Source organism: Homo sapiens, chromosome X (assembly GCF_000001405.40).
Source record: "Homo sapiens chromosome X, GRCh38.p14 Primary Assembly".
In the NCBI taxonomy this organism is placed as follows: Eukaryota; Metazoa; Chordata; class Mammalia; order Primates; family Hominidae; genus Homo; species Homo sapiens.
The window spans coordinates 17,507,398-17,532,102 of NC_000023.11; the positions used below are offsets into that span (position 1 = coordinate 17,507,398).

The 24,705-nt window shown below is 43.7% G+C and overlaps 1 protein-coding gene and 1 long non-coding RNA gene across 3 annotated transcripts in view; both read left to right on the plus strand.

Moving 5' to 3' along the window:
* Positions 1-24,705, plus strand: part of NHS (NHS actin remodeling regulator) — a 360,795-nt gene that overhangs the window by 132,198 nt on the left and 203,892 nt on the right. The window lies entirely within an intron of this gene.
* LOC101928389 (uncharacterized) overlaps positions 21,038-24,705 on the plus strand; it is a 58,726-nt gene continuing 55,058 nt past the window's right edge. The window contains exon 1 of the long non-coding RNA NR_135631.1: positions 21,038-21,361. This is a non-coding gene — a long non-coding RNA (uncharacterized LOC101928389). The remainder of the gene's footprint in view (positions 21,362-24,705) is intronic.

A 24,705-nucleotide genomic window follows, 5' to 3' on the forward strand; every position in this document is an offset into this window, starting at 1 on the left:
CTGGAGTTTTGCTTTGAGATGGAAAAACACAAATACCTAAAAAAACATACCTCACCCCACTGTAATGAAGATCAAAGTGAAAAAATGAAGAATGGCAAGACATCCCAGGTGTGTTTTTAAATTCCCAGAAAATTTTGCCTCTGGGGATTCTCCGTGCTTCTTGCCAGAAAAGGTTTTCCCTTTTAGAACGTAAGGCACTGTTGCTTATTTTTCAGTTACAGATGGGGATTTTTAGTAAAGACCTGGCCCCCTCTCACCATTGTTTACCCGAGGTGTCTGATCACTTTCTTTATTGGCATATTGCCCAAGACATAGACAAAACTGCTAAAGGGTTTTGGATGCATTAGCTGAGCAAAAGGTGTGTGTTCCTCTGTCTCTAGAGCACAAATTTGATTAGCCCTTTTTATTAGGAGTCAAGAATGACATTCAGTCTTAACCTAGCTCATCTCTCACACTGTGGCTTTGGTGTTTCACCTTCTTTCTCTGAAAGATGGGGGCAAGCATGATAAAGGACAGCATTTCTTGGGTGTTTACTCTGCCAGGCATAGTGCTAAAGTGTTTTGCATATACTATCTCATTTAATCCTCATAGTAAGCCTGAGGTTGTTATTGTTATTATTATTATTTTGGAATTGTATATTTTTTCATTGAGGCGAAATTTGCATAACAAAATTAACCATTCTGGAAGTGAACAATTCAGTGGCATCTAGTACATTCACAATGGTACAACCATTGTGATGAACTATGGTACAACCATCACCTCTAGTTCTAAAACATTGTCATCACCCCAAAAGGAAATCCCATATCTGGTAAACAGCCACCCCACCATTCCCATTTCCCCCAGCCCCCTCCCACCACCAATCTACTTTCTGTCTCTATGGATTTGCCTATTCTGGACATTTCATATAACTGGAATCATACAATATTCATTCTTTTGTGACCAGCTTCTTTCAGTTAGCATAATGTTTTCTAGGTTCATTCACATTACAGCAGGTATTAGTATTTCATTCCTTTTTATGGCAGAATAACGTTCCAGTGTATGGATATACCACCTTTTGTTTATCTTTTTTGTTGTTGTTTGTTTGTTTGTTTTTGAGACTGGGTCTCACTGTCACCCAAACTGGAGTGCAGTGGCATGATCTCGGCTCACTGCAACCTCCACCTCCCAGGCTCAAGTGATTCTCCTGCCTCAGCCTCCCGAGTAGCTGGGATTACAGGCATGTGCCACTACTGCCCGGCTAATATTTGTGTTTTTAGTAGACGGGGTTTCACCATGTTGGCCAGGCTAGACTTGAACTCCTGACCTCAAATTATCCGCCTGCCTCAGCCTCCCAAAGTGCTGGGATTACAAGAGTGAGCCACTGTGCCCGGCTCATTTTTGTTTATCTATTCATCTGTTGATGTACTTTTGGGCTCCTTCTACCTTTTGGCTATTGTGAATAGTGCCATGTGAACATTTGTGTGTGTATTTGCTTGAGTACTAGTTTTCATTTCTTTTGGGCATATACAAGGAAAGTCAGCATGTGGAAGTGTGGGTACAGAGAAGGTAAGGGGTTGGAGATAGGATTCAAACCCAGAGCCTTCATGTAACCACCATGTGGTGCTGCTTCCTATAATACAGCACTGTCCCTGGAATCCCTCTTAGGGAACTAGCTTATAACAAAGTCTCTTTAGCATTTGGTAATGAAAGTCCTGCAGGCATGATGGGGTTCAGGTAGAATCCCTTTAAAGTATCAGCTGCTCTCCAGCAAATGGTGGTGTTGGGAGGCATTCTTCTTTATTCTTGAACTTCAGGTAATAGTTACAAGTAATTTATTTATTTATTTATTTATTTATTTATTTATTTATGAGACAGAGTCTTACTCTGTTGCCCAGGCTGGAGTGCAGTGGTGTGATCTTGGCCCACTGCAACCTCCGCCTCCCAGGTTCAAGTGATTCTCGTGTCTCAGCCTCCAGAGTAGCTGGGACTACAGGCACCCGCCATGATGCCCAGCTATTTTTTGTACTTTTAGTAAAGACGAGGTTTCTCCATGTTGGCCAGGCTGGTCTCAAACTCCTTACCTCAGGTGATCCACCTGCCTTGGTCCCCCAAAGTGCTGGGATTACAGGCGTGAGCCACCACGCCTGGCCCAGTAGTTAGAAGTAGTTTTAATCTCTATGGCATGTTACTCTTAAAAAATATTTTTACCTAGGGTTTTCATTTGGCCATTATAACAACCATCTGAGGTAGCCAGCTTTATAACTTGCATCTCCATTTTACAAATGAAGAAACTGGGACTCAGAGAGGTCAAGGAACTTGCTCAAGGTCACACAGCTTAAAGGTAGACAATCCAGGGCCTATACTGGGTCTTCTATGGCCTTGTTGCCTCTCCACTTAGCAATAAGAAATGGTTAGAAAACAGGCACATGCAAACTGCCTTCTTTACATCAAAAGCTAGTTGTAATAAAGGAGTGAAGTTTTATAGCTATCATGCCATAATAATGGTAACAACAGCAGCCACAATAGTAGCAGCAGACAATTCCAGCGTCTCTACATTGTGCTTATGCAGCAAATATAATCCAGCACACAGTAACTTTCTACTAACATTTTTTAATCAGTTCACTTTAGTATGTGGAATAAGCATCATAAAAGCTCTCAATCCTGAAATGTGTACCCTGGTCTCCCAGGGTCTACCTTGAAGTTTATCCCCGACAGTTGTTCATCCTTGGTGACCTTACCGTTGACTACAACTAGAAACTGTTATTTTATTTCTCTTTTTCAGTGTCTCTTTCTATTTCCCACTATCTCAGATCATATGAACCATCTCCTGTTTTGTAGTTAAGCACCTGGAAGTGAAACATCAAGTGAGCAGAAAGAGCTAGGCACAGAATTCTGGGTGCCTTTCTAGAACTTTCCAAATTGCCTTGCTTTCCCTTGGAGGGCTGAGCCCACCACACTTCTCCCTGAGTATTGGTCATGGGCCTTTACACAGCCTCCCAGTCTAGGTCTCATTCCACCTCATGAATTTACTGGTCTGCAGATGCCCACCTCCTGCTTTCTTGTTGGAATATTTGTTCCTAAGATGTCACGTGAAGATGATTTCAGTGTGAACCACTGCTAGTGAACAATGGGGAAAGCATTGCTTCCCAGGATGGCCAATACATACCCATGCCCAAGGTTAGCACTATTCCTATAGCAGCAGCTGAGCTGGTACTTAAGTAGTGAGGTTATAAATCGAGTGGTGAGGCTGTTTAGATTTTCCCAAAGTAGCCTGGGTGGCTGGTCTCTCCATTTCCCTTTATCCATGAGGGATGGTTCTGTCTTTCTGATTCAGACATTGTTACATGTAAAAATAAACTCCAGCCTTATTACTCTGACATTTTATATCTGGACATTTTTTGATGTGGGCATAAGGCTTCGTGGCCTATTTAACTGAAGACATAGATTTATTTACTCATCAATTCTAAAGCAATATTCTCCATCATTCAGTTTCATAGATGAGGGCTTTATTCATTTGACCAGCCTCAGAAATTAGCCATATTTGGGGTTAAGGAAAAATAAGGAATTGAGGCTGATGCACAAGAGATTGTCCCTGGTTGTAGATGGACTGGCTGGCTGCAGAATTCCAGTTCTGTGTTCAGCCATGGGTGGTGAGGTGGGATTGCCTTGGCCTTAAGCTCTAGGAGATTAAATGTACAGCAATTTCCTGAAGCTGAGTTATCTCTAGGAAGAGAGAAGCTGTTCTGGGGCCTTAAGTCACCTTACTTGTGGGTGGGCAGGATGTGACCTTGGCTGGGAGGCCCTCATGCCTGCCCCCTCTAGCTCTCTATAAACCACTTACTGCCATTGAAGATTAAGGGAAGAGACAAATGACCATAGCCTGCCTGCCACCTCTTTGTTTTCTGATAGTGGGTGCAGTTGGGGGCTGGAGGGGCTGAGCACCACCGTAGGTCTCTCCATAGTGATTTCTAGGCACTCTTCTGCCCCTGTCACATAGTATAGGAACTTCTCCTGAGGCCAGTCAGAATCTGGCAGAACTAGTGTATTATTTGTTTGGCATTGTTTCCCAGGCTTGCCAGATAAGACAGTCACCTTTGGAGGCTGGCAGTGGGATGGGGAGAGGTTTGTTCATGATAAAAAAAAGCTTCTTAGGCCCTTCCTCTAGAGAATTTGATTCAATAGATGTAGGGTAGGTCCCAGGAATCTGTATTTTAACAAACCTTGTGTTATTCCTAGTGCCAGGCAAGCTTGGAAAACACTGGCTTACAGTAAGAGGTTTTGAAATGTGCAATCCCATCTCTTGTCTTCTTTTCTTCTGCAGTATTTTTCCCTTTTCTGCCTTGGTGGCAGATGCTCATAAGAAGATGACTCGTATCCCTTGGATCTTACCACTTCAGTGTGCTCCAGTGGGATTTCCATCTATTTACATCTCATTGCCTTCCTGGGGACTCAGGAAGGAGGGATCCATGAGGGATGGTTCTGTCCTTCTTATTCAGACATTCAGGCTGGAATTACCCCAGGAGCAGCCCTCAACCAGGACACAAGAGGAGTTGGTGTATAAATACCCCAGCTCCATCACCTCTCAGCTGGGATAAATCTGAGCCATGTCCTGCACCATTTCCCAGAATTTCCCAGTGGGATTAAACTCTAGTCATGCACAGTAATAGTATGCTTGACAATGCACTCTTTATAGGCTGCCTTTCCTTCCTGTCTCACTTACTTGCTTCTATATTTCCTTACGAGCATTTCCTTGCCTCTCAAATAAACTACAGTCAGTTCTGCTATAACATGACAAATGAGTTTCTAGAAAATCACCATGCTATGCAAAATTATGCAATAAAAACCACAGGGCTTGTGGGATAAATGAGATTAGGGGGCACAACACTTAAAAACGTAGTGATATATAAAAAATAAGATAGGAACCTAATAAAAATTGTAGTTTTACACATAATGTATGTTTTAAAAATGCATAAGTACAAAAATAGATATGGCATTTTACCTAGAAAAATCCCTGAAGGTGGCTTGTGGAAGTGGTCATTGGAAGAGTTGCAGCTTGTGACTTACCATGCAAGAGTGGAAGGAAGGTGGTCAGAAACCCGAAGGAAAATTTTAACACCAGATATGGATGGTTGTGGCTTCTAAGGTGAACTGAGGTAGCTGGTCGATGTTCAAGGTGTGTGTATGTGTGTGCATTTTGTAAATGCAGCTCAATTCAGCTGGGTGCACTTTTCTGTGTTCACCTACTATTTCTTTCAGACAAAATGGCACATAAGCAAATGTGAAATTTGCATGATGCCCAAGTCATTTCCTAATGTATCAGTCACACTGGAACAAATTTTTGTTTTTAAGACAAGCGTTTAGAGCAGAATTTTCCATACTTGTACTAGTGTTCTTGTTGCAGGGCTTGCTTCTAAACCTAGCTAAAATTACCTATCAATGACAGCTTGATGGTGGTTTTATTTTTTAAGTGGCCCTTTCTCCTGTTGAACAAGGCTGATAAGCAAAACACAAGCCCCTTCACACCCAAGTAAGTTCAGTAGAGACTGTGGCTGGATATAAGAAGTGACAACTTAAGCCAGAATGTCCCTGTTGGAGGCTCTGCACTCCAAGTTACCTGGTCTCACCTACTCATTTTCTTGTAACTCACCTGGAGACTGCAACCCTGTTTTACAGGTCTTGAGAATCTTGGCTGCCTATTTACAGTTTCTTGGAACGGGCTTAAACCTAAAATCAAATGTCAGATTATTACGAGCTGAAGCAGAATTCTGTAAATGCTCGGTTTCTTCATTAGGGGAAAAAATTAACGTGGAACCTTGGTAGATATATTACTCACCTGCATTCAGTGCTTCCCAGGAGGTAAAATTACAGTATGAGCTCAGTGCATTCTTAATTTCCCATGGTAGGTTACAAATGGGCTCTTTTCTATTCTACAACTTCTTTAATCTCAATACCTTATTTCTCCCACGTGTAGCTCTACACAATCAAGCAACTTATACACCACATGGCTCATTTGTCTAACTGGTTCTGCTTTGGTTTCAAGTTCATGCTTTCTATAACCTTGATTTTGACCTGGGTGTGCATGCAGGCTGCAAGTTCAATGTTTTTCAGAATGTGGACTTCAGATCAACCACATCAGAATCTCCCCCAGAGAGCTTGTTGCAAGCACAGCTTCTTGGGCTCCACCCTAGACCTCCTGAATCAAACTATTTTGAGAGTGGGGCTCAGGGATCTACATTGTTTTCTACAAGCTATTGGGTGATGCTTATGTGCACTCAAGGTTGAGACTCACTGGTTTCGACCAGTGGGTCTCAACTGGGGCCAGTTGTGCACCACAAGGGGACATTTGACAATGTCTGGAAATGTATTTGGTTGTCACATCTGGAGGGAGGTGCTACTGCCTAAGTAAGTAGAGGCCAGGTGTGATGGTTAATATTGAATGTCAACTTGATTGAAGGATGCAAAATATTCTTCCTGGATGTGTGTATTAGTCTGTTTTCTGCTGCTGATAAAGATATACCCAAGGCCGGGCAATTTACAAAAGAAAGAGGTTTAATGGATTTATAGTTCCACGTGGCTGGGGAGGCCTCACAATCATGGCAGAAGGCAAGGAGGAGCAAGTCATGTCTTACATCAGTGGTGACAGGCAAAGAGAGAGCTTGTGCAGGGAACCTCCCCTTTATAAAGCCATCAGATCTCATGAGACTTTTTCACTATCACGAGAACACCATGGGAAAGACCTGCCTTCATGATTCAGTTACCTCCCACCAGGTCCCTCTTCCAACACATGAGAATTCAAGATGAGATTTAAGTGGGGACAAAGCCAAACCAAATCAGCATGTCTGTGAGGGTGTTACCAAAGGAGATTAACATTTGAGTCAGTAGACTGGGAGAGGCAGACCTATCCTTAATCCAGTGGGCACCATCTAATCAGCTGCCAGCGTGGCTAGAATAAAGCAGGCAGAAGAATGTGGAAGGACTTGACTTGACTTGCTGAGTCTTCTGGCCTTCATCTTTCTCCTGTGCTGGATGCTTCCTGCCCTCAAACATCAGACTCCAAGCTCTTCAGCTTTTGGACTCTTTGACTTACACCAGTGGTTTGCCAGGGGCTCTCGGGCCTTTGGCCATAGACTGAAGGCTGCACTGTTGGCTTTCCTACTTTTGAGGTTTTGGGACTTGGACTGGCTTCCTTGCTCTTCAGCCTGCAGAAGGCCTATTGTAGGACTTCACCTTGTGATCATGTGAGTCAATTCTAATCAACTCCCCTTCATCTATACATATATCTGTTAGTTCTGTCCCTTTAGAGAACGTTGACTAATACACCAGGGATGCTGCTAAACTTCCTATAAGTGCACAGGACAGCCCCCAGGACATGTAAATGGTGCCAAGTTTGAGACACCCTGGTTTCAACCCTGAGAGATTTCTCCAAGGTCTGCTGCACTTATAGGGCTGTTTCCTTTGTCATTATTTTCTTTGGTTTCTCTGCAACTGGATGGCTTAGAAGCAACAAAGTTCTCTGGATAAGCAGAAATGTGTGGGGGGGCAGACTGGCAGCTTTATGTGGGTAGAATCAGGGTCGGTATGAGTGATCACTGACTCCTTGAAAGATGCCTTCCCCAGAATCCAAGAGTTGAACTATAAATCAGGTCAGCTTAGGTCATCCTAGAGATGAGGGGCCCTTGCAGATTTGGAGCAAATAACACAAATTTGGAGAAGCAGAATGGGCTTTTCTTTCAGTGTGTGTGGATTCTTTGTCAAACATACTCAGTTGTTATTACCTGACATGTACATGATACAGTGAAAGCTGGCCCTATTCATCACCTAGGGCAGTGCCTGTATGACCCTTCCATGCTTCATGTGTTACTGACCTGTGCTTACTAAAAACTCTGCAAATATCTTCTAAATCATCAAAGAGGGGTTAGTGTGTTTAATACCATTTCAACATTGGGAGTATTCCATTGTGCCATGAATCTTTGAAAACTGGTAATTCATGTATAGGATAAATGGTGATTCAACTGCCAGCTCTGAAATTCTGAGTCTATATTATATACCAAGGAATATTTATCTGTTTTATAAGTCTATTATTCAGTGATAAGACTTGTCCACATTATGTACAAAGAAGGATGTTTTGACTGCTAACTAGTGAGATTTTACAAGTTCATGTATATTATTGAAATGTTTTTGTATATGCTGTAGCTTGAATGTAGAACCTCTTTCATCTATAGCCTGTTGAAGTCTGGAAAACCTTTTAGGATCCTTTAAAATGACTAAAATGTTAACATGGTTTGGATAATTATAATGCTTAACATCTATTGAGCACTCACACCTGCCAGATGCTCTTCTAAGCACTGGACATTTATTTTGCTCATTCAATTCTCACAACAACCCTATGGGATAGAGGTATGATTATTACCATTTTACAGATGAGGTTAAATATGAAGGACACGCAGCTAGTAGGTGGCCAAACTACAATTGGAACTCAGGCAGTCTGGGTTCTTAACAAGAGTATTATTCTGCCTCAATTACTTCAAATGTAGTCAATAATTTGTCACATCTGACTTGAATCAAGTGAAATAATCATTAAGATGATTTTCCTGGTCCAGCGTAGAAATGGGATGCAAGCCACATGTATAATTTCAAGTTTTCTAGGAGACAAACTGTTAAAAGATGTAAAAAAAAAAAAAAAGGTGAACTTAATCTTAATAGTATATTTTATTAACCAACATATCTGAAGTACTATAATTTGAACATGTGATCACTATAAAACATTATTAGCATTTTACATTTTTCTTTTGTAGTATGCCTTTGAAGTTCTGTATATATTTTACACTTACAGCATATCTCAATTCAGACTAGCCAAGTTTCAAATACCCCAAAGCCATATGTGACAACTGGCCACCATATTGGACAGTGCATCCTTAGCTGATACTTGGTGAGAAGCATTAGGCTTGGAGAACTGAGTTTGAATGATTTTTTGAAAGGCAGGAAGATTGTTTTCCAATCCTGCTTATTTAGCTCAAGTCAGAGAGAGGCCTTAAATGTTTTTCCATATTTTGACAGACTTCAGTGGCTACTTCTTTCCAGGGTCTGGCTTCTGCAAATGGACCCAAGCATTTATACCCTCATGTGCACACATGCCCCTCCTCTGCCAATAAATATTCTTGAAAGGGGATTTAACTTACAACACACACACACGCGCACACACACACACACACACACACACACACACACACGAAGAAAACACTGACCATCTTTGTTACCAATGTGTTATTTTCATTAGATTGAGGAGTGTACAGGAGGGGAGAGATGTTTCATTTGTGCCTGTGTGATATCTTCCTATGTCTGCTTGACCTTTCAACCTCCACATACTGCCAACTTGGCCCCAGTGTAATTCAAATGGCACACACACACACACACACGTGCACATACACATTTTAACCCAGGAATGGGAATATATGGATCTACAGCCTTAAAAGCAAAAGCTTGTTGCATGGCTAGCCCAGAACTCAAACAAAGCTCCCACATTTGTGTCATAATGGCATCAAGTTTGATGAAAGACATCAGCTCAACTCAGAAGCATATGGGGCTGCTTTAAAGCCTAGAAGAGCAAGTGCCTTTTGGGTATCTGTCTAGTGGAAGACGTCTGTCCCTGATTGCTGGATAAAATGCACAGAGGCGCCCCTTGAACACTCAGACCAACAGGAACATTAGCCATTGGTATTGTCATCTTTCTTTTAATTAAATTCATGGGAGCAAGTGGTTCTTCTAGAAAAACACAATCATTGAGAAGCAACATACTGCAGTGAGAAGATCACGGATGAAAGGTTTTAGTCTTGACTTTTGCCATTAACTAGCCATGTGACCTTCATCCCTCTAAGCCTTTGAGGTAATAAAGGGACTTGGGATTAGATTTCAACCCAGGATGCACATTAGAGTCACTGAGGAGTTTGTTGTTAAATGTTGATGCCCAAATCCAATTCTAGACCAATTAAATCAGAACCTCTGAGGTTGGAGCCAGGTTGAGAATCACTGGATTAAATGATCTGTAATTTTCCTCTAAGTCTTCAATGCTATAGTGAATCACCTGTTACAGATAGTATAGCGTATTACCTACTTCCAAGCCTTAGGAAGGAAAGTGTCATTTGCATTGTGTGCCTCCTATTCCTTTTGAATCAGTCAGGGCCCTGGTTTCAGGGTGGGAAGTCAAGTTGGGCTGCTATCTGCCTCAAAATCTTCATTCCTAAGGAACTACTAGTATTGGGGAGAATGTTAGAGGGCTTATTGTGTTGTAAATGGGCCCTCACTCTTTTGGTGGAAAATTAGGGGACCAGAGAGAAAGAAGAGGAGGATTTAGGTGTCTAATTTCAAATGCTATTTGTTTGTAAGAGAGAGAAAATCCATTTATTTTAATTCAATTTCATTTAGTTAGGCCCTTTCCAGTCTCAGAAATGATTTAAGGTATCAGGGGAGAACTAATATTAGGTGTCTCCATTCCTCCCTCCTGAGAAGAGTTCCATGGAGAAGGAAATGCTCTGGTGTGTCTCATCCATATTCCCTAGAGTATAGATGAAATCAGAGTATTTCAAGGGTGGGTGATTGTATCAGTCAGGACCAGCCCAGTAACAAATGACTCCCAAATCTCACCAGTTTACAACAGCAGATGTTTTTTTCTTGCTCATGAAAAATGTCTGATACAGGTCAGCTACAGCTCTCTCCTGTCTCCTTCACTCCAGGACTGGGGCTGATGGGATTGGTCTCTGCCTAGAACACTGCTGGCCCAAGTGACAGATAAAAGAAGAGAAAATGGTGAATCACACACTTGATCTTAATGTTTATGCTCAGAAGCGACACAACCCTTCTGCTCACACTTAATTGGCCAAAGCAACTCATGTGGCCCAGCCAACTCTGAGTTCAACAGAGCAAAGATGGGGATGTGTCAACCTTCTGCAAGGATAAGGATGAAAACAGTAATACAATCTACTACGGTAGCAAAAGATGCTGTAGTAAAGAGAGTCACAAACTCCCATCTACACAAGGAGTGAACGCATGGCCACAACCCAAGTTAGCTCATAGCTGTCATGGCCTGCCTCTCCCCGCCCCTCCAGTTGATCTACCAGAGTTCACTTTTGCCCTGAACACACCAAGCAAGAGCCCTTGGGACATACTGTAACAGCAATTCCTGTCATGCTGGCCTCTGCTGATCTTTGACCTTTCCAAAATCCTTCCATCTGCTGAAAGATGCTTGTTTGCTCTCCATGCAGATTTACTGATGACTTGAACAAAGATCTAGGATGGGCTCAGCCTTTCTACCTGGCGGCAAGGAAGCATGGTGGCTGGGAACAATGGTTCTCAAATTTGGCTGCACACCAGAGTCACCTGGGGAGCTTGAGAAAATACTGATGACTGGGTCCTACTCTCTGAGATTCTGATATAGTTGATCTTGAGTGCAGCTTGGGCTTGGATGATTCTAACGCAAACTCTGAGAACCTCTGGTTAAAAGCACCAGCTTCCCAGCCAGCTGAGACCTGGGTTCATAACTTGACTTTCCCATTTCTCAGCTGTGTTGCTTTTGCCCAAGTTACTGTATTTCTCTGTTGCTTGGTTTTCTCATCTGTCTCTATGTCATAGGCTTTTGTTGTGATAATTAGAGGAGGGTGAATAAAGCACTAAGTGTTGTGCTTAGGTTCTAGTAAGTGTTCAATATGTATAATAATTGTTGTTACTGTCATCATGCTGCAGCTTCCTGTGCTGCACGAATGCCTCCTGGAAAAACCAGCTGTTCTACTAGATTGGCCGTTGAAGAAATGGTTGTAAAAGCCATACTGTGCTATTAAACATGATTACATTTAGCAATGGTCTAAGCAATGGGAATGAATGCAGCTTTTGGCTTTCCTTGACATCTCGAGACCTCACAGCAGAAAAAATCCTCTGGACTTTCTGGAACCCTCACCACTCATTCTTTCATCTCCAGTATGGAAGGCTTATTTTGGGGGAAGTGTTTATGATGAAACCAAAAAGTAAAAAAGAAAGAAATGTAACAATTTTGAAATGTGTCTTTCCATTGTTTTGCGGCCCATTTTAGTTTCCAATATGAATGAGCAAGCTGTTGAGAAGTAAGGGGGACAGCATGTTGCTGTCTTCCCAGGGCCTTACACAACAAGGAGGCTTGGGCCAGCTGGACTGAGACCCAGGAGCACTTGCACACGCACACCATCCGCCCGGATGTTCCGGAGTGTGTTTGGGTTTCACTTTGAAATAAAACATGAAACATGGGAAGTGCCAGGAAGGGGCAGGGTGGCTATCAGATTAAAAGAGCTCTAATACCACTTGACCACTTGCTTCTAGCTATAGTCGTATTTCTTTGTGGTTTAGGATAACCCACCGGGACCACCATCCTGAGGGACTTAGGGGAAGGAAGAGAGATGATCACTGGTGTACCTCCCATCATCATCATCGTCATCATCATCCTCATTTCATTTAAAATAAGGATGTAGGGCTCTTCAGTCTTTTAATTCTGATTTAGCAAGTTCTTTGCCTCTTAATCTCTCAATTCCCAACATAAGGCATTTCCCACTCCCCACCCCCACCCCCATTTGTGCTTATGGAGTTTTTAATGATTTAATGAGCAAATGTCAAGACTTACATTTCTGTTTCCAGGAACTAGTTCTTGATCATTCCTAATTCTTTGCATATGACACACACATCAGAGTTAGTTCCATTTGACATTTGTGAATTTATGGGAAACCTCATCTTTGTGGACATTTAAAACTTGGCTGCACCCATTGAATCCACCCTAGGGAATAATTTTGCAAGGTTCCCTAAAGGATTAGGCGAGATAACCAATAACATGCTATTTCTGTAAATTCCAATTCTGGGGGGGCTTTGATGAGAAAGGCACTTTTTCATTTTTGTTTTCTTTCTCCTGCAAACATGGAAAATAGGAATGTCTCTGAATGATTAAGATCTAAGAGTGGATAATGAAAGCACAGACAGTGATAGTCTTGCTGACTGCCAAGAAAGCAAGCTCTGTAGGGATTTGGGACTGGCTCGGAGGATAGCATGGATTGCTCACATTCTGTTTGGACAGAAAGCAGAATTGCTGGATCTGAAACATTTTACCCCTTTTAGGAATTGCTTCTCCAGTTGTGGACATCCAGCTGGGTTAACATGCTGTCTGAAGGGCATCATGCTTATTGTCATGTTAAGAGGGATTGTAAGGGAAGAGAGGGAGAGACTGGAGAGAAGAAAATTAGCAATTTTTAAATGGAATTTCCCTAAGCATGATTGGGAAGTAGAAACACATTTCCATCCATTCTAAATATTGCCGTCATTATTTGGGTGAAATTGTGCAAGCATGAACCCTCTTTCTTAATTGCAAGTGTAATTTCAAGATGGAGAAGAGGCTGTAAGTAGAGGGTGTTTTCATTTATTTGAACTGGGATGCATACCCTGCCACCACTCTCTTTATTTACAGGTGTATTTTAGAGCCTGCTTTCTCAAAGTGGGATCCATGGAGCCAGCAGCATCGCATCGTCAGGGAGCTCATTAGAAACAAAGACCCTCAACCCCACCCCAGACCCACTGAGTCAGAATCTGCATTTCAGCCAGGGCCCAGGATGGCTGGCTCGCACGCACAGTACAGTCTAAGAAGCATTGCTCTTGAGAATTTTAAAGAGTTATAGGTTCTTTCCTTGCTGCGTTGACTCTCTGCAACCCAGTTACATGAAGGAGCCCAATTTGGCCCTCTCTAAGGAGCACAAAGCTAGGGGCCTGTGTGCTCAGAAATGTTATATCCATGGTGGGAATAGAAATGTTCTGTTCCAGAAAGTCTAGTTGGAGGGATGGCAGGGGCAGGGTGGCAGATCTGTTTGAGATGTCTCTTGTAATGTGTGACCAATGAGACCTTGCAGAATTAAGCTGGGTCTCCCATTTCTCTATGCTTTTGCTACTGAGGAAAATCTCCAGTGAGTTCTACCTTTTTCTCCCTTCCCTCTTTTTTTTTTTTTGAGACAGGGTCTCACTCTGTCAACCAGGCTGGAGTGCAGTGGCATGATCTTGGGTCACTGCAGCCTCGACCTCCCTGGGCTCAAGCGATCCTCCTACCTCAGCCTCCAGTATACCTGGGACCACAGGTGCACGCCACAATATGTGGCTAATTTTTTTGTCTTTAGTAGAGACAGGGTCTTACTGTCTTACCCAGGCTGGTCTCAAGTTCCTGGGATCAAGTGATCCTTCCACCTCAGCCTCCCAAACTGCTGGGATTACTGGCGTGAGCCACCATGCCTGGCCTATCCCACCCTCTATTGTCCTACAAATATCTATTACATCTAATGCATTATATGTTTCCAAAAGTGCTTCTTTGGGAGAGATGTCTGCTCAATTTTTGCTGCTTAATTTTCTTCTTTTAATCATTCATTCATTTTGCAAAGCCAAATGTATTTTTATTTGCAAGTGCTTCATTTTCATTATTAAGCTAGCTAAGGCCTGGTCACCATAGCTGAAGCAAAGTGGAAAACTAAGAAACGGTCTTCATTTAGCTGAATGATGTTGGAAAATCAGGGTTTGGTTCCAATTCTCTGGATAATTCCCTGGTTGCTTCGTTTTGGTTTGGCAGAGGAAGCAGCCCGCATGCTCAGCCCTTAACTGGGTTTTGTCAAAGTCAAGATACCTTGCTCTCTGCTCCCCTGGGGGCTGTGGCATGAGGCCCAGGCTTGGAAGACAGAGACAGGTAGGTCCTGGGCCACAGCCATGTCCAGCTACAAGGGCCACTTGAGAGATGGTGTCCACTATTCTTTGTGGCATTTTAAGGTCGTGCTTTCTGATTCTCTGCTTTGTGCTGCCTCCGAGTCACCTGGAGCAAGCTCTTAGTTAGTTAGTGTGTGGATTCTGGCCTCGGAGGAATGCAGTGGCTCCTCCAGAGCCGCCCCACTGACCTGTAGGATAAGGGGGCGGGAGGAAGAGCTGGAGAATATTTCAACCTTGGCTTTTTCCAGATGGTTTGGCCTGGTTGGTGCCATAGCCTCTGAAGAACCTGTCTTGGGAGTGGGGCTCTGTGTCAGGCCCACAATTTCCCCCTGGGGGCAGCTCTGACACATTTGCTCAAATAGTAGCCAGAAGCCGCCCCCCCCCCCCCGCCCCATCCCCCCCATCCGGAAGCAGCCCAGGGCCGTCTGTGGTCCAGGTTTCAGGAGCTGCAGCCGCCTGGGTGTGGCTGCTCTTCCGAAGTTCCCGGTGCTGCCATCTGGAAAAGCCGGACTGGATTTCAGTTCAGGCCTGGCTCAGAGCAAATGTGGGCTTGCTGTAGCAGGGAAGCTTTCTTTGTGAGGTGCTGATTTAGAGACCCCGAATGTTAATTTGTGAAGTTGGTGATTGGCCTGTTAGGAGCCATCTTGTGACACTGCCCCTAAATCTTTCCTTGTTTTTCTTAAGATAATTCCTCTCCAAGTTATTATGTGAGAACCCAACAAGGCCACCTTCAGTAACTGCAGTTGGGAAACTGATGTGGCTCCATCATGCAGTTCTAATTCATCTTCTTCCTGGTACCTGCTCTAGTTACATCAAGAAGTCAGGTTTGCACTGGTGTATGGTTCTATGTTGGAGGTCAGAGGTCGTCTCTGAGGTTACATTGTCCATCACTTGCTAGGAAAAAAAAAATGGATAAGGAAGACTCTTTGAAGAAAAACTCACATTGGTGACTGTCTTTTGAGGAGTTGTCCATGGTCAGCAAGGCAGTTCTGTCGCTAAGTATCATGAGTCTAGCATGTGTGCTCATGGAGCTGGAATATGGTGAGTAGGGGTGGTAGTGGGGAAGTACAGAGTGCCTGATGGCTCTGCAGGGAGAGAACTAGGGCACCATCAGGCTGAGTCTTAGAGCCTGGCAGGACTCAGGCCTGACAGAATGCAGGAATGCTGGAATGGAAACTGAGGTAGCAACACAGTCACATGATTGGGTGGACACAGCAGCAATTAGGAAACTCAGCAGCAGGTGCCACTTGAGAGGCAGAGACCCAGTCTTCCTGCCAGGGATGTCTTTCCAGGGCCCACCCCCCAGGCCTTGATCTCTGCTGCTGCCAAAAATGGCAGGGCTGACACAGCAGGATTGCTTATCTCTACTGAGCAGAGCAGATGAGGAAACCGAGGCATAGAGCCGCCATGAGACTCATCCCAAGGCTCCTGACAGTCCAGAGGCAGAGCCAGTAGTGGGGGCAGTCTCCCCAGATGAGCTGACCTCAATGGATCTCTACACAGAAGAGGGAAAACAGATAGGGCGGCATCCAGTAAATACCCCAAAAGCTCATCTTGGAACCTGTGAGTCCCTGCTTGTGTTTCTTGGCTTCCCAGGTCCCTCACACCTCAATAAAAGCCCAGTCTTGTCTTTCTCTCCCAACAGTGCCGGCAAAAGAAATAAGACCTCCAACCACCACAGTGGAAAACCTGCAGGAAGAAAATGTTCATAAAGAGTTGAACCATGGCCCGAAGTGGTTTTGGTTTTCTTTCAAGGCCTGCAGCATCCTGGAGTGCCAGGGGCCTGTGGTCACAAAAGCTTCATCTCAAAAGAAGCTAAGAGGGGGTCCATTCTGGGGAATACTCTGGACAGTGCTATGAAGGGCAGCTGGGAAGAGAGCTGGCTCTCTGCTGCATATTGACTACTCGGGGGTACAATTTTGTCTTGCCCTTACCCTTATCCACCCATAGCAAGCTCCGCATTTGGTGATGTTTGCTTGTTTCACTTTTTATTTTGAAATAATTAAAACTTACAGGACAGGTGCAAGAATAGTGTAAATAACTCTTGTATACCTTTATCTAGATTCACTAATTGTTCATATTTTGTTGCATTTATCCCTTCTCTCCCCCACACTAATTCATGTTCATATATATGTGAATTTTTTTGCTGAACCATTTAGGAGTAGGCAGCTGTCATCAAACTCCCTTTACCCCTTGCATTTCCCAAGAATGAGAATATTCTCTTGTATATGTACAGCTATCAAATTTAGAAAATATAATATTTATTTCATACTTTTATGTAACCTGTGTCCCAATAATGCCCTTTATCACAATTTTCTTAAGGTTCACAATCTAGTCCTGGATCCCACATTGCATTTAGTTGTCCTGTCTCTTTTGTCCCCGTTAATCAAGAACAGTTCATAACTCTTCCTTTGTCTTCAGTGGCCTTGACATTTTTGAAGAATACCAGCCAGTTGTTTTATAGAATGTTCCTTAATTTTGGTTTCTCTGATGTTTCTTCACATTTACATTTGGATTTAGGCATTTTTCAGTTGGAATGCTATATAGGCATGTAAGTGATTTGTTCTCTGGGGACCATATCAGGAGGCACAGATGTCCATTTGGCCCTTGTTGGTGAGGTCACATTTGATTAGTTAAGCTGGTGTCTGTGTAGCTGTTCTTTTTCCTTTTGTAATGAACAAATATAATTTGTTGGAAGATATTTTGACATTATGTAAATATCCCATTCCTCATCAAACTCTCTCCACCTAGCTTTAGCATTCATTGAGGATTCTTGCCTGGATAATGATTTACTCTAATGGTTTCATCCATCATCCCTTCTATATTTGTTAGTCCAAAATAGTCTTTGATTGGGTGGGAAGGCATACTAAGCCTGCCGATCTTAGTAGCTGAGCTCACAGGGAGGAAGGGCCTTGATTTCCTCCTTGGACTCTGACTGACAGCTCTTTTGAAGCAGTCCTGTTCTGTTGGGTGTATGTTTTGACACATGTAGTAACTCATTTTGGAAATACTTATTTTTTACTAGATAACTTTCAAATAAGTTTTTAAATACTTTACAAAAAAATGGTAGGATGTTGGTTGCATATGTTATCATTTATTTTTGTGGCATCTGCTGGAAAATTGCACCTGGTTCTTTTACACAGTGTTGATCAACAGAAACCTGATCATGATGATAGCAATAATAATATCTTCTCACCATCTGAACCCTGCTCCAGAGAAAGGGATGAAATTAGAGAGATTGTTTGAATTCTGAGAAGGATGGTTGGACTAAAAAGGAAAACCAGCTATTGGAAGCAGATGAATTAAGTAAAACATGAATTTCCAGGAATGTTTCAAAATACTTGTGTGGGAGTTCTTTTTGGAATGTTAAAGCAGTGAATGGCATTGCTTGGAATTTTGTTTTTTTCTTTATTGATTTTGGTTCAAAACGAATCCTTAATCAGTTTCTAGCCAGTTCATTTTTGTCTATTTTTTGCAGCAATTTACTGTTTTGTTTTTGTTTTCTTTTTTCTTTCTTTTCTTTTTTTTTTTTTTTTTTTTTACTACAGTGGAAGGGGTTTTTATGGGAGAAACCTCTGATTATTGTTTTAGTGGGCCTAGAATATTAAGTTCTTGGTTTTGATTTTTGTCTTTTTAAATAGCTCTTTATAGCCCATAGTAAGAACAAAGGACTAATGGGGGATGTTTGGGAGGTTTCTCAGCTCTTATATGTTGTTATAACACTGGTTGTTACAGTTGCCATTAAGGTTAATGTTTTCAGAACAGCACCAAAAGCTATAAGCGGACATGAAGGAAAAGCAGCTGTTTTTCATAAAACTTACAGATGAACCAATGCTAGTTACTCCTGTGATGAGTGATCTAGAGCAGCCTTTCCCTAGTGTGTGTGTTCCTTGGAATGTGCATGTGTGTATACACACAGAAGAGAGAAAAGGGAGAGTTAAGTTCATGGTCAAAGAAGTTTCAAAAACATTGCATATTGTAACTCCATATTGGAGAATCACAAGGTTAAAAGAGTATAGTTAATGCTTTGAATGTTACACCTTTGCTAGAAAACAAACTACCCCAAAATTTAGTGGCGCTGAACAACAAACATATATCTTAGTCTGTGGTTGAGCTCAGTGGTTGTTCCAGTCTGGGCTAGGCCAGGCCAGGTGGTTGTAGCTGGGCTAGCGCATGTGTCCACAATCAGTGATAGGTCAGCTGAGGCCTAGCTGATCTAGATTGGCCTCATCTGGGATGTTCCCCCTGGCAGTGTCCTCTTATCGTCTAGCAGGCCAGCCTGGGCTTGTTCATATGGTGATCACGGAATTCTGAGCATGCGAGCAGAAGTGCGCAAGGCCTTTCGAGATCCAGGCTTGGAACTCAGACAGTGCCACTTCTGAATTGCATTGGCCAAAGCAAGTCACAGAACCAAACCCAGATTCAAGGGTTTGAGAAATAGACTCCACCTCTCGATGGGAGGGCTTACAAGGTCTCATTGCAAATGGATGGGGAGATACCGAAAGGGGAATGATTGCAGCCATTTTGACAATCTAGCAGAGAGATCAACTAATACGTGACTGGCTATTATTTCTATGCGCATTTCTGGGTTTGGGAGAATTTGTAGGGGAGGAGGAAAAGAGATACAGATCATTTATAATTGCAGAAAGTAAAAATAAGACTTCAGTTGAGATTTAATGAGCTAATCTATTTCAAGTGCTTTGAACTCGCATGTAGTAAGAGCTCTATAAATGTTGCTGTTATTATTATCATGAATGCATATGTCACTTGAGGTCCTCAACCTCACTTAGAAGTGAAGCAGGAAGATTCATTTGACAACAAAATGAACAAAACTTCAGATACTTGTGCAAAACATATAATCAAGTGAAGGAATTTAAATAAAATACCCCCAGCAAAAATAGTCTGGAGCACAGAACAGACATTTTCCTCTGGGGGTTGAAGGTGGGAAGATGTGTCCAGTTTTGCCTTCTGTGACCAGTTCACCCTGTTGGGCTTGTTTCCAAGGTAAGGTCAGAGCTTGCCGGGTTCTTGCTAAACTGGAGTCTGTAATAAAGAGGGTACCCAGGTGTGAAGAGTTTTATGTTCTCAGGACTTGTTCTTTGTTTATTTAGTTAGCCTTTATTAAGTGCATTGGAGCCTTGGAGGGCTCTGCAGTGGCTTTTGTTGCATGATAAAGGTGGCACATAGCTTTTCTTTGGCTGACTTGGGCTCCCAAGTGAAAAAGGCAGAGAGGGCCCTGCCAGCTTCCCTGGCTCTGCCCCTTCAGGGCATTTCAGGGAGCAGTCCAGTGACTGACGCCAAATGCCCTTGAGCACTGTGCCAGCCCTCTTGACTGGAAGCTGGGGAAGGAAACTTTCTCAGGCCCTCTCTCTCTTTGCTTCTATTTCCCCTTTCATTTTGTGGTCTGAGCAGCCCCCGCCCCTCCTTGCGTAAACCCCTCTGCAGTTAGCATCAACAAATCCCAAGTTGTTTGTATGTGTGTCTAAAAGAAAAATTCTCTGAGGATTAGAAGCAGACACAATAGAGGGAGTGCTCCCTTTTGCTTTAATCACTTCAGGCTCCTACGTGTTGACAGGAAGTTTTGTTAGTATCCAAGTTTAAGGAAAGGAGCATTCAGGGGTGGCATTTTTTTTCCTGCGTTGAATTCTTAAAGTAAGTTTGATAAGATATCTGGTAAACTACAAGCCGCTCCCTTTTTAAATAGGCTTCACTGCCCCCTTGGCCTGCCTGTAAAAGCGCTGCTCCCTTCAAAGGGACCCATAATCACGCCGAGTCTGTGGGTTGCACGACTATACCCACTGTCTTATCTGCAAGTTGAGTTTGATCTTCCTGGCTGAAACCTGTGAGATGTTCCTTTATGTCTCCACATTCTTTTCTTCCCTTTCTGCTCCCAACCCCACCCCCAAATTAATTGGTGTCTGGTGACTTTTTCTACCGCTTCCTCTTGTTTTCTGTGGCTTTTGTCTAGGGCAGTGGGGGAGGGTGATTCTTCCCTCACCCCCAGGGGACATGTGGCAATGTCTGGAGACATTTTTGGTTGCCACAACTGGAGAAAAGGGGCATCTGGTGAGGAGAAGTGAAGGATGCTGCTAAACCTCCTACAATGCACAGTGCAGCCCCCACAGCAGAGAATGATCCAGCCTCAAATGTCACCAGTGCCACCACAAGGAGCCCCTGATCTAGCAGGTTGCTTTCTGGTAGGGTGCTCCTGCTTCTGATATGGCTCCTCCCTCTCTCTCTTCTTCCTCAAGAGGACTGTTCTTGTGTCTAGTATTGGTTACATCACCCCTGCCCTTAAATAACTAAACTCACAGAAGGAGAAAATTTTTCCTTAAGGATGCTACTGACTCTGGAATCCTTGAGTTACATGTGAATAACTGGGTCGTGCATGTCAGCATTAAGAAATAATCACAGAACTCCTGATTCTGGTTTGCTCTGGGTGGCAGCTGTGCTGGGTTTACCAATGGAGGAACTTCATGGCTGCTCATCTTTGACTCTTTTTCTGAGGAACCAAATCTCTCTGGGAGTGCTGGCTAACTCACCCCTTCTTCAAACACGCTGTGTGGCTTCAGGATATGGCTGCTGGCTTTAAAAAAGAAGGAAAAATAAATTAAGACACCCACACTGCAAGACAACCCCTGTGAGTATATGTTATACTGGGAATGCCCCATTTCTCAAATATTTATAAATATATGGTCTCTTGGAGTGTTCTAGGTCTGTCATTTGGGAAGGTTAGACAGCCCTGGGCCACTATCCTTTTTCGTAAGCACAGGGCACTTTCACAAATACCAGATTGACAGCTGGGTGATGCCAAGGGAATGGTGATGTGTTGCCCTGTGTATATCTGGGATGTGTTAGACATCCCTCCCTTCCTTCTTTTTCTTTGTTTTCCCTCCCTCCTTCCCTTCTTCCCTTCCTTCTTTCTTTTTTCTTCCTCCCTCCTTCCCTTCTTCCCCTCCTTTCTTTCCAAGCACATCAGTGAGAATGTAGCACAGCTTGGTTTTCTGAAGTCCGTCAACTACTGTGTACTGCTTGTCAAGAAGGGTGCTATATAAGCTGAAATGCTGCTCTAAATTTCACATTATCCCTTCCTGCTGCTCATTGAGTTATTTAATTAGAAGCTGCCATATTTTCTAGGGAAAACACTTTGAACAGAAGGCCTGATTTCACTGAGAATGGATGCCTTTATTATGTGTCAAGGAGCTAAAAATTGCTAGTAAGATGTCAGTGTGTATATGTATATGAAATACAGAAAAGTGCATGTACATATATGAAGAGCAATCAAAAGAGAAATGCGAAGGGGTTGGAAAATGAAGAGGTGTCAGATCCAGTCGATGATTTGGTTCCTGCTCAGGAGTGTGTAAGCTTCAGTTGGCTCCAGTTTGGCTAACACTGCAATGCCTTTAGTGTCACTGAAGCCGACAAAGAAAGCTGACGCGTTGTTTTTCTAGGGGGAAAAAAAATGCTCTCCTTCCACATTCCCAGTGCAGACAACAGCAGAAAACAGAAATGAGACCGTACTGCCCAGAGTCCACACAGACTCCAACTCAAAGTCTTTGAATTATGTATTCAATTCTTGCCACTTTGCACATTTTCCCTTAAAGAAAAGAGAAAAAAATCAGTTCATAGTAGCTCTTAAAAAGCATGGAGGGGCATTCAGGATTCAATTCATCCTGAGAGGCAGATTTTAAGTTTCATTCTTAGAAGGAGATTTCGTGTTTAGGGTATGACAGTGTGGAGTTCATAGGAAGGGATGTCAGCTAAAACCAACTGCATCCTGTCTTTTGAGTTTGTTTTACCTTTGGTGTCCCCTGTTGACATGTGCCTTTCACTTCGCTTGGAGACTCTCTGGATGTGCAGGCTGCTTCATGTCCTTTAGGCTCTTCTGTGGCAGCCAAGGGGGTTTCCTTTTTTCTTCCCTCTATTTCTGGGCCACAGAGAGGAAAGAACAAAGATGCTTTCCCTGCACTGACTCCAAGTTGAAGCTAGTCAAACTCCCCTCTGAAAGGGGTTAATCATTTTAAAATAGCTCGAGAATAACTTGAAAGTGACTTTCAGTGAACGTGTCCAGAGATCTCTGGATTTAAATCCCCTCCCCTCCTCTCCCTCTCCAGCCAGGTCACCGGATGGGAATGGCTTATTTCTATCTGCCATTAGGTTTTTCAGCCCTGCCGAGAGAGACGCCAGTGCTGGACTTTAATGTGGAGGAAATTCAGTTAAGGAGCATGACATTTCTCAGGTTTCTGGAGAGATGGATGTTTTGGCTTATGTTGAGTGCTACCGACCCCATTTGTCACCAGCAAGCAGGTGGATAGTCCCTTAACCTCTCAGAATGGGGTGAAGGGATGATTTGGACCCTTGCTACTCAAAGTGTGGTCCTTGGACTAGCAGTATCGTCTCCCCTGGGAGCTGGTTAGAGATGCAGAATCAGGGCTCCACTGCTGACCGACTGAATCTGAATTTGCTGTTTAACATGATCCCCAGGTGATTCAGACGCACATTAATGTTTCAGAAGCGCTGGTCCAGGGCAGTGGTTATCAAATTTGAGCATATATTGGAATTTGTTTCAACAATCCTATTAAAACACAGATTGCTCAGCCTTACTCTCAGAGTTTTGAATCTATCAGGTTTGGGTCAGGGCCAGAGAATCTGCATTTCATCCTTTTTTCTTTTTTTTTCAGACAAGGTCTCACTCTGCCGCCCAGGTTTGGGTACCGTGGCACAATCATAGCTCACTGCAGCCTCAAATTCCTAGGCTGGTCTTGAACTGCTGGCCTCAAGTGATTCCCCTGCCTCAACCTCCCAAAGTGCTGGAATTTCAGGCGGGAGCCACCCTGCCAGCCAAATCTGCATTTCAAACAGGTTCCCTGGTGATGCCCATGCTTCTGGTGAGGTGGAGGAGCACACATTGGGAATAGCTGCTCTCGAGGAACCCTGGCCCTTCTGGCAGCCTTTATTTCTCTCTCCATGGAAACCCTCGCACCAGCCAGGCTACCCTTGCCCCCTGCCTCATGCTTTTAATTCCCTTCCCCTTCCTCCTTTTGGAGAGGCCAGTACCTCCCCCTTATAAACCTCCCCCATTTCCTAGCTGTGAATCCAAACCCACACTTTCCTTTCCTGGCCACTCTGAGCTTTCTCATCCCCCTTCAGTGGCCCCCCAGTTCTTCCCCTGGTGCCCCAGCCTTCCCAGTTAGATTGCAAGCTGGAAGTGGGCCTCCCCCTCCCTCACTGTCCCCCTAATCCATCACCAGGATCATTCATTTCACTGCCCAGTGTCTCTCAGATCCCTCTTCTGCCCTCTACCCTAACTACCACCCCTGTGGTCTAAGCCCCATCTTCTCCTGCAGCTGTCTTTGGAGGTCTCCTTGTAGCCTCTCTTGCATTTGTCCAGTCTCTTTTCTACTATCAAGTCCAAGTGACCTATTCAAAGTTTCCCGCACCATTATTCCCCCCTCCTCCTCTGCCACTGCTTCAGCTCTTTCTGTGACACCATTGGTCGTAGCCTACAATCCTGAGCATGGCCCTGAAGGCCTCTAGGGTGGGCCCTGGCTATGCTTCTGTCTTTCTCTCTGCTGCCCTCCCTTGGCTTTGTGCTGCAGCCACGCTGGCCTATTTTCAGGCCCCCACAGGGCCTTTGCACAAGCTGAGGTGCTTTCTCCAGCCCCACCTCACCTGCTTAGTGCCTCAGCATCCTGCCAATGGCCCCTCAAGCTTCCCCAGGGAGGCTTTCTCTGACCTTCTCCAGCCAGTGAGATTCCTTTGTTGTTGACCCTCCTTCTTATCCTCATAGTGCTTTTTGCCCTATGCAGTTATATATCCAAAGTGTGACAATTGGATTAATGCGTGTCTCTCCTGCTAGACTGTAAGTTTCATGGAGTGAGGACCCATTCATTTGTGTTGATTCTTGTCTCCCCAGGAGCTGGTATCTAGAATGCACCCAACAAATATTTGTTGGTGAAGCCAGTGGGATCCTTTGCAGCTCCA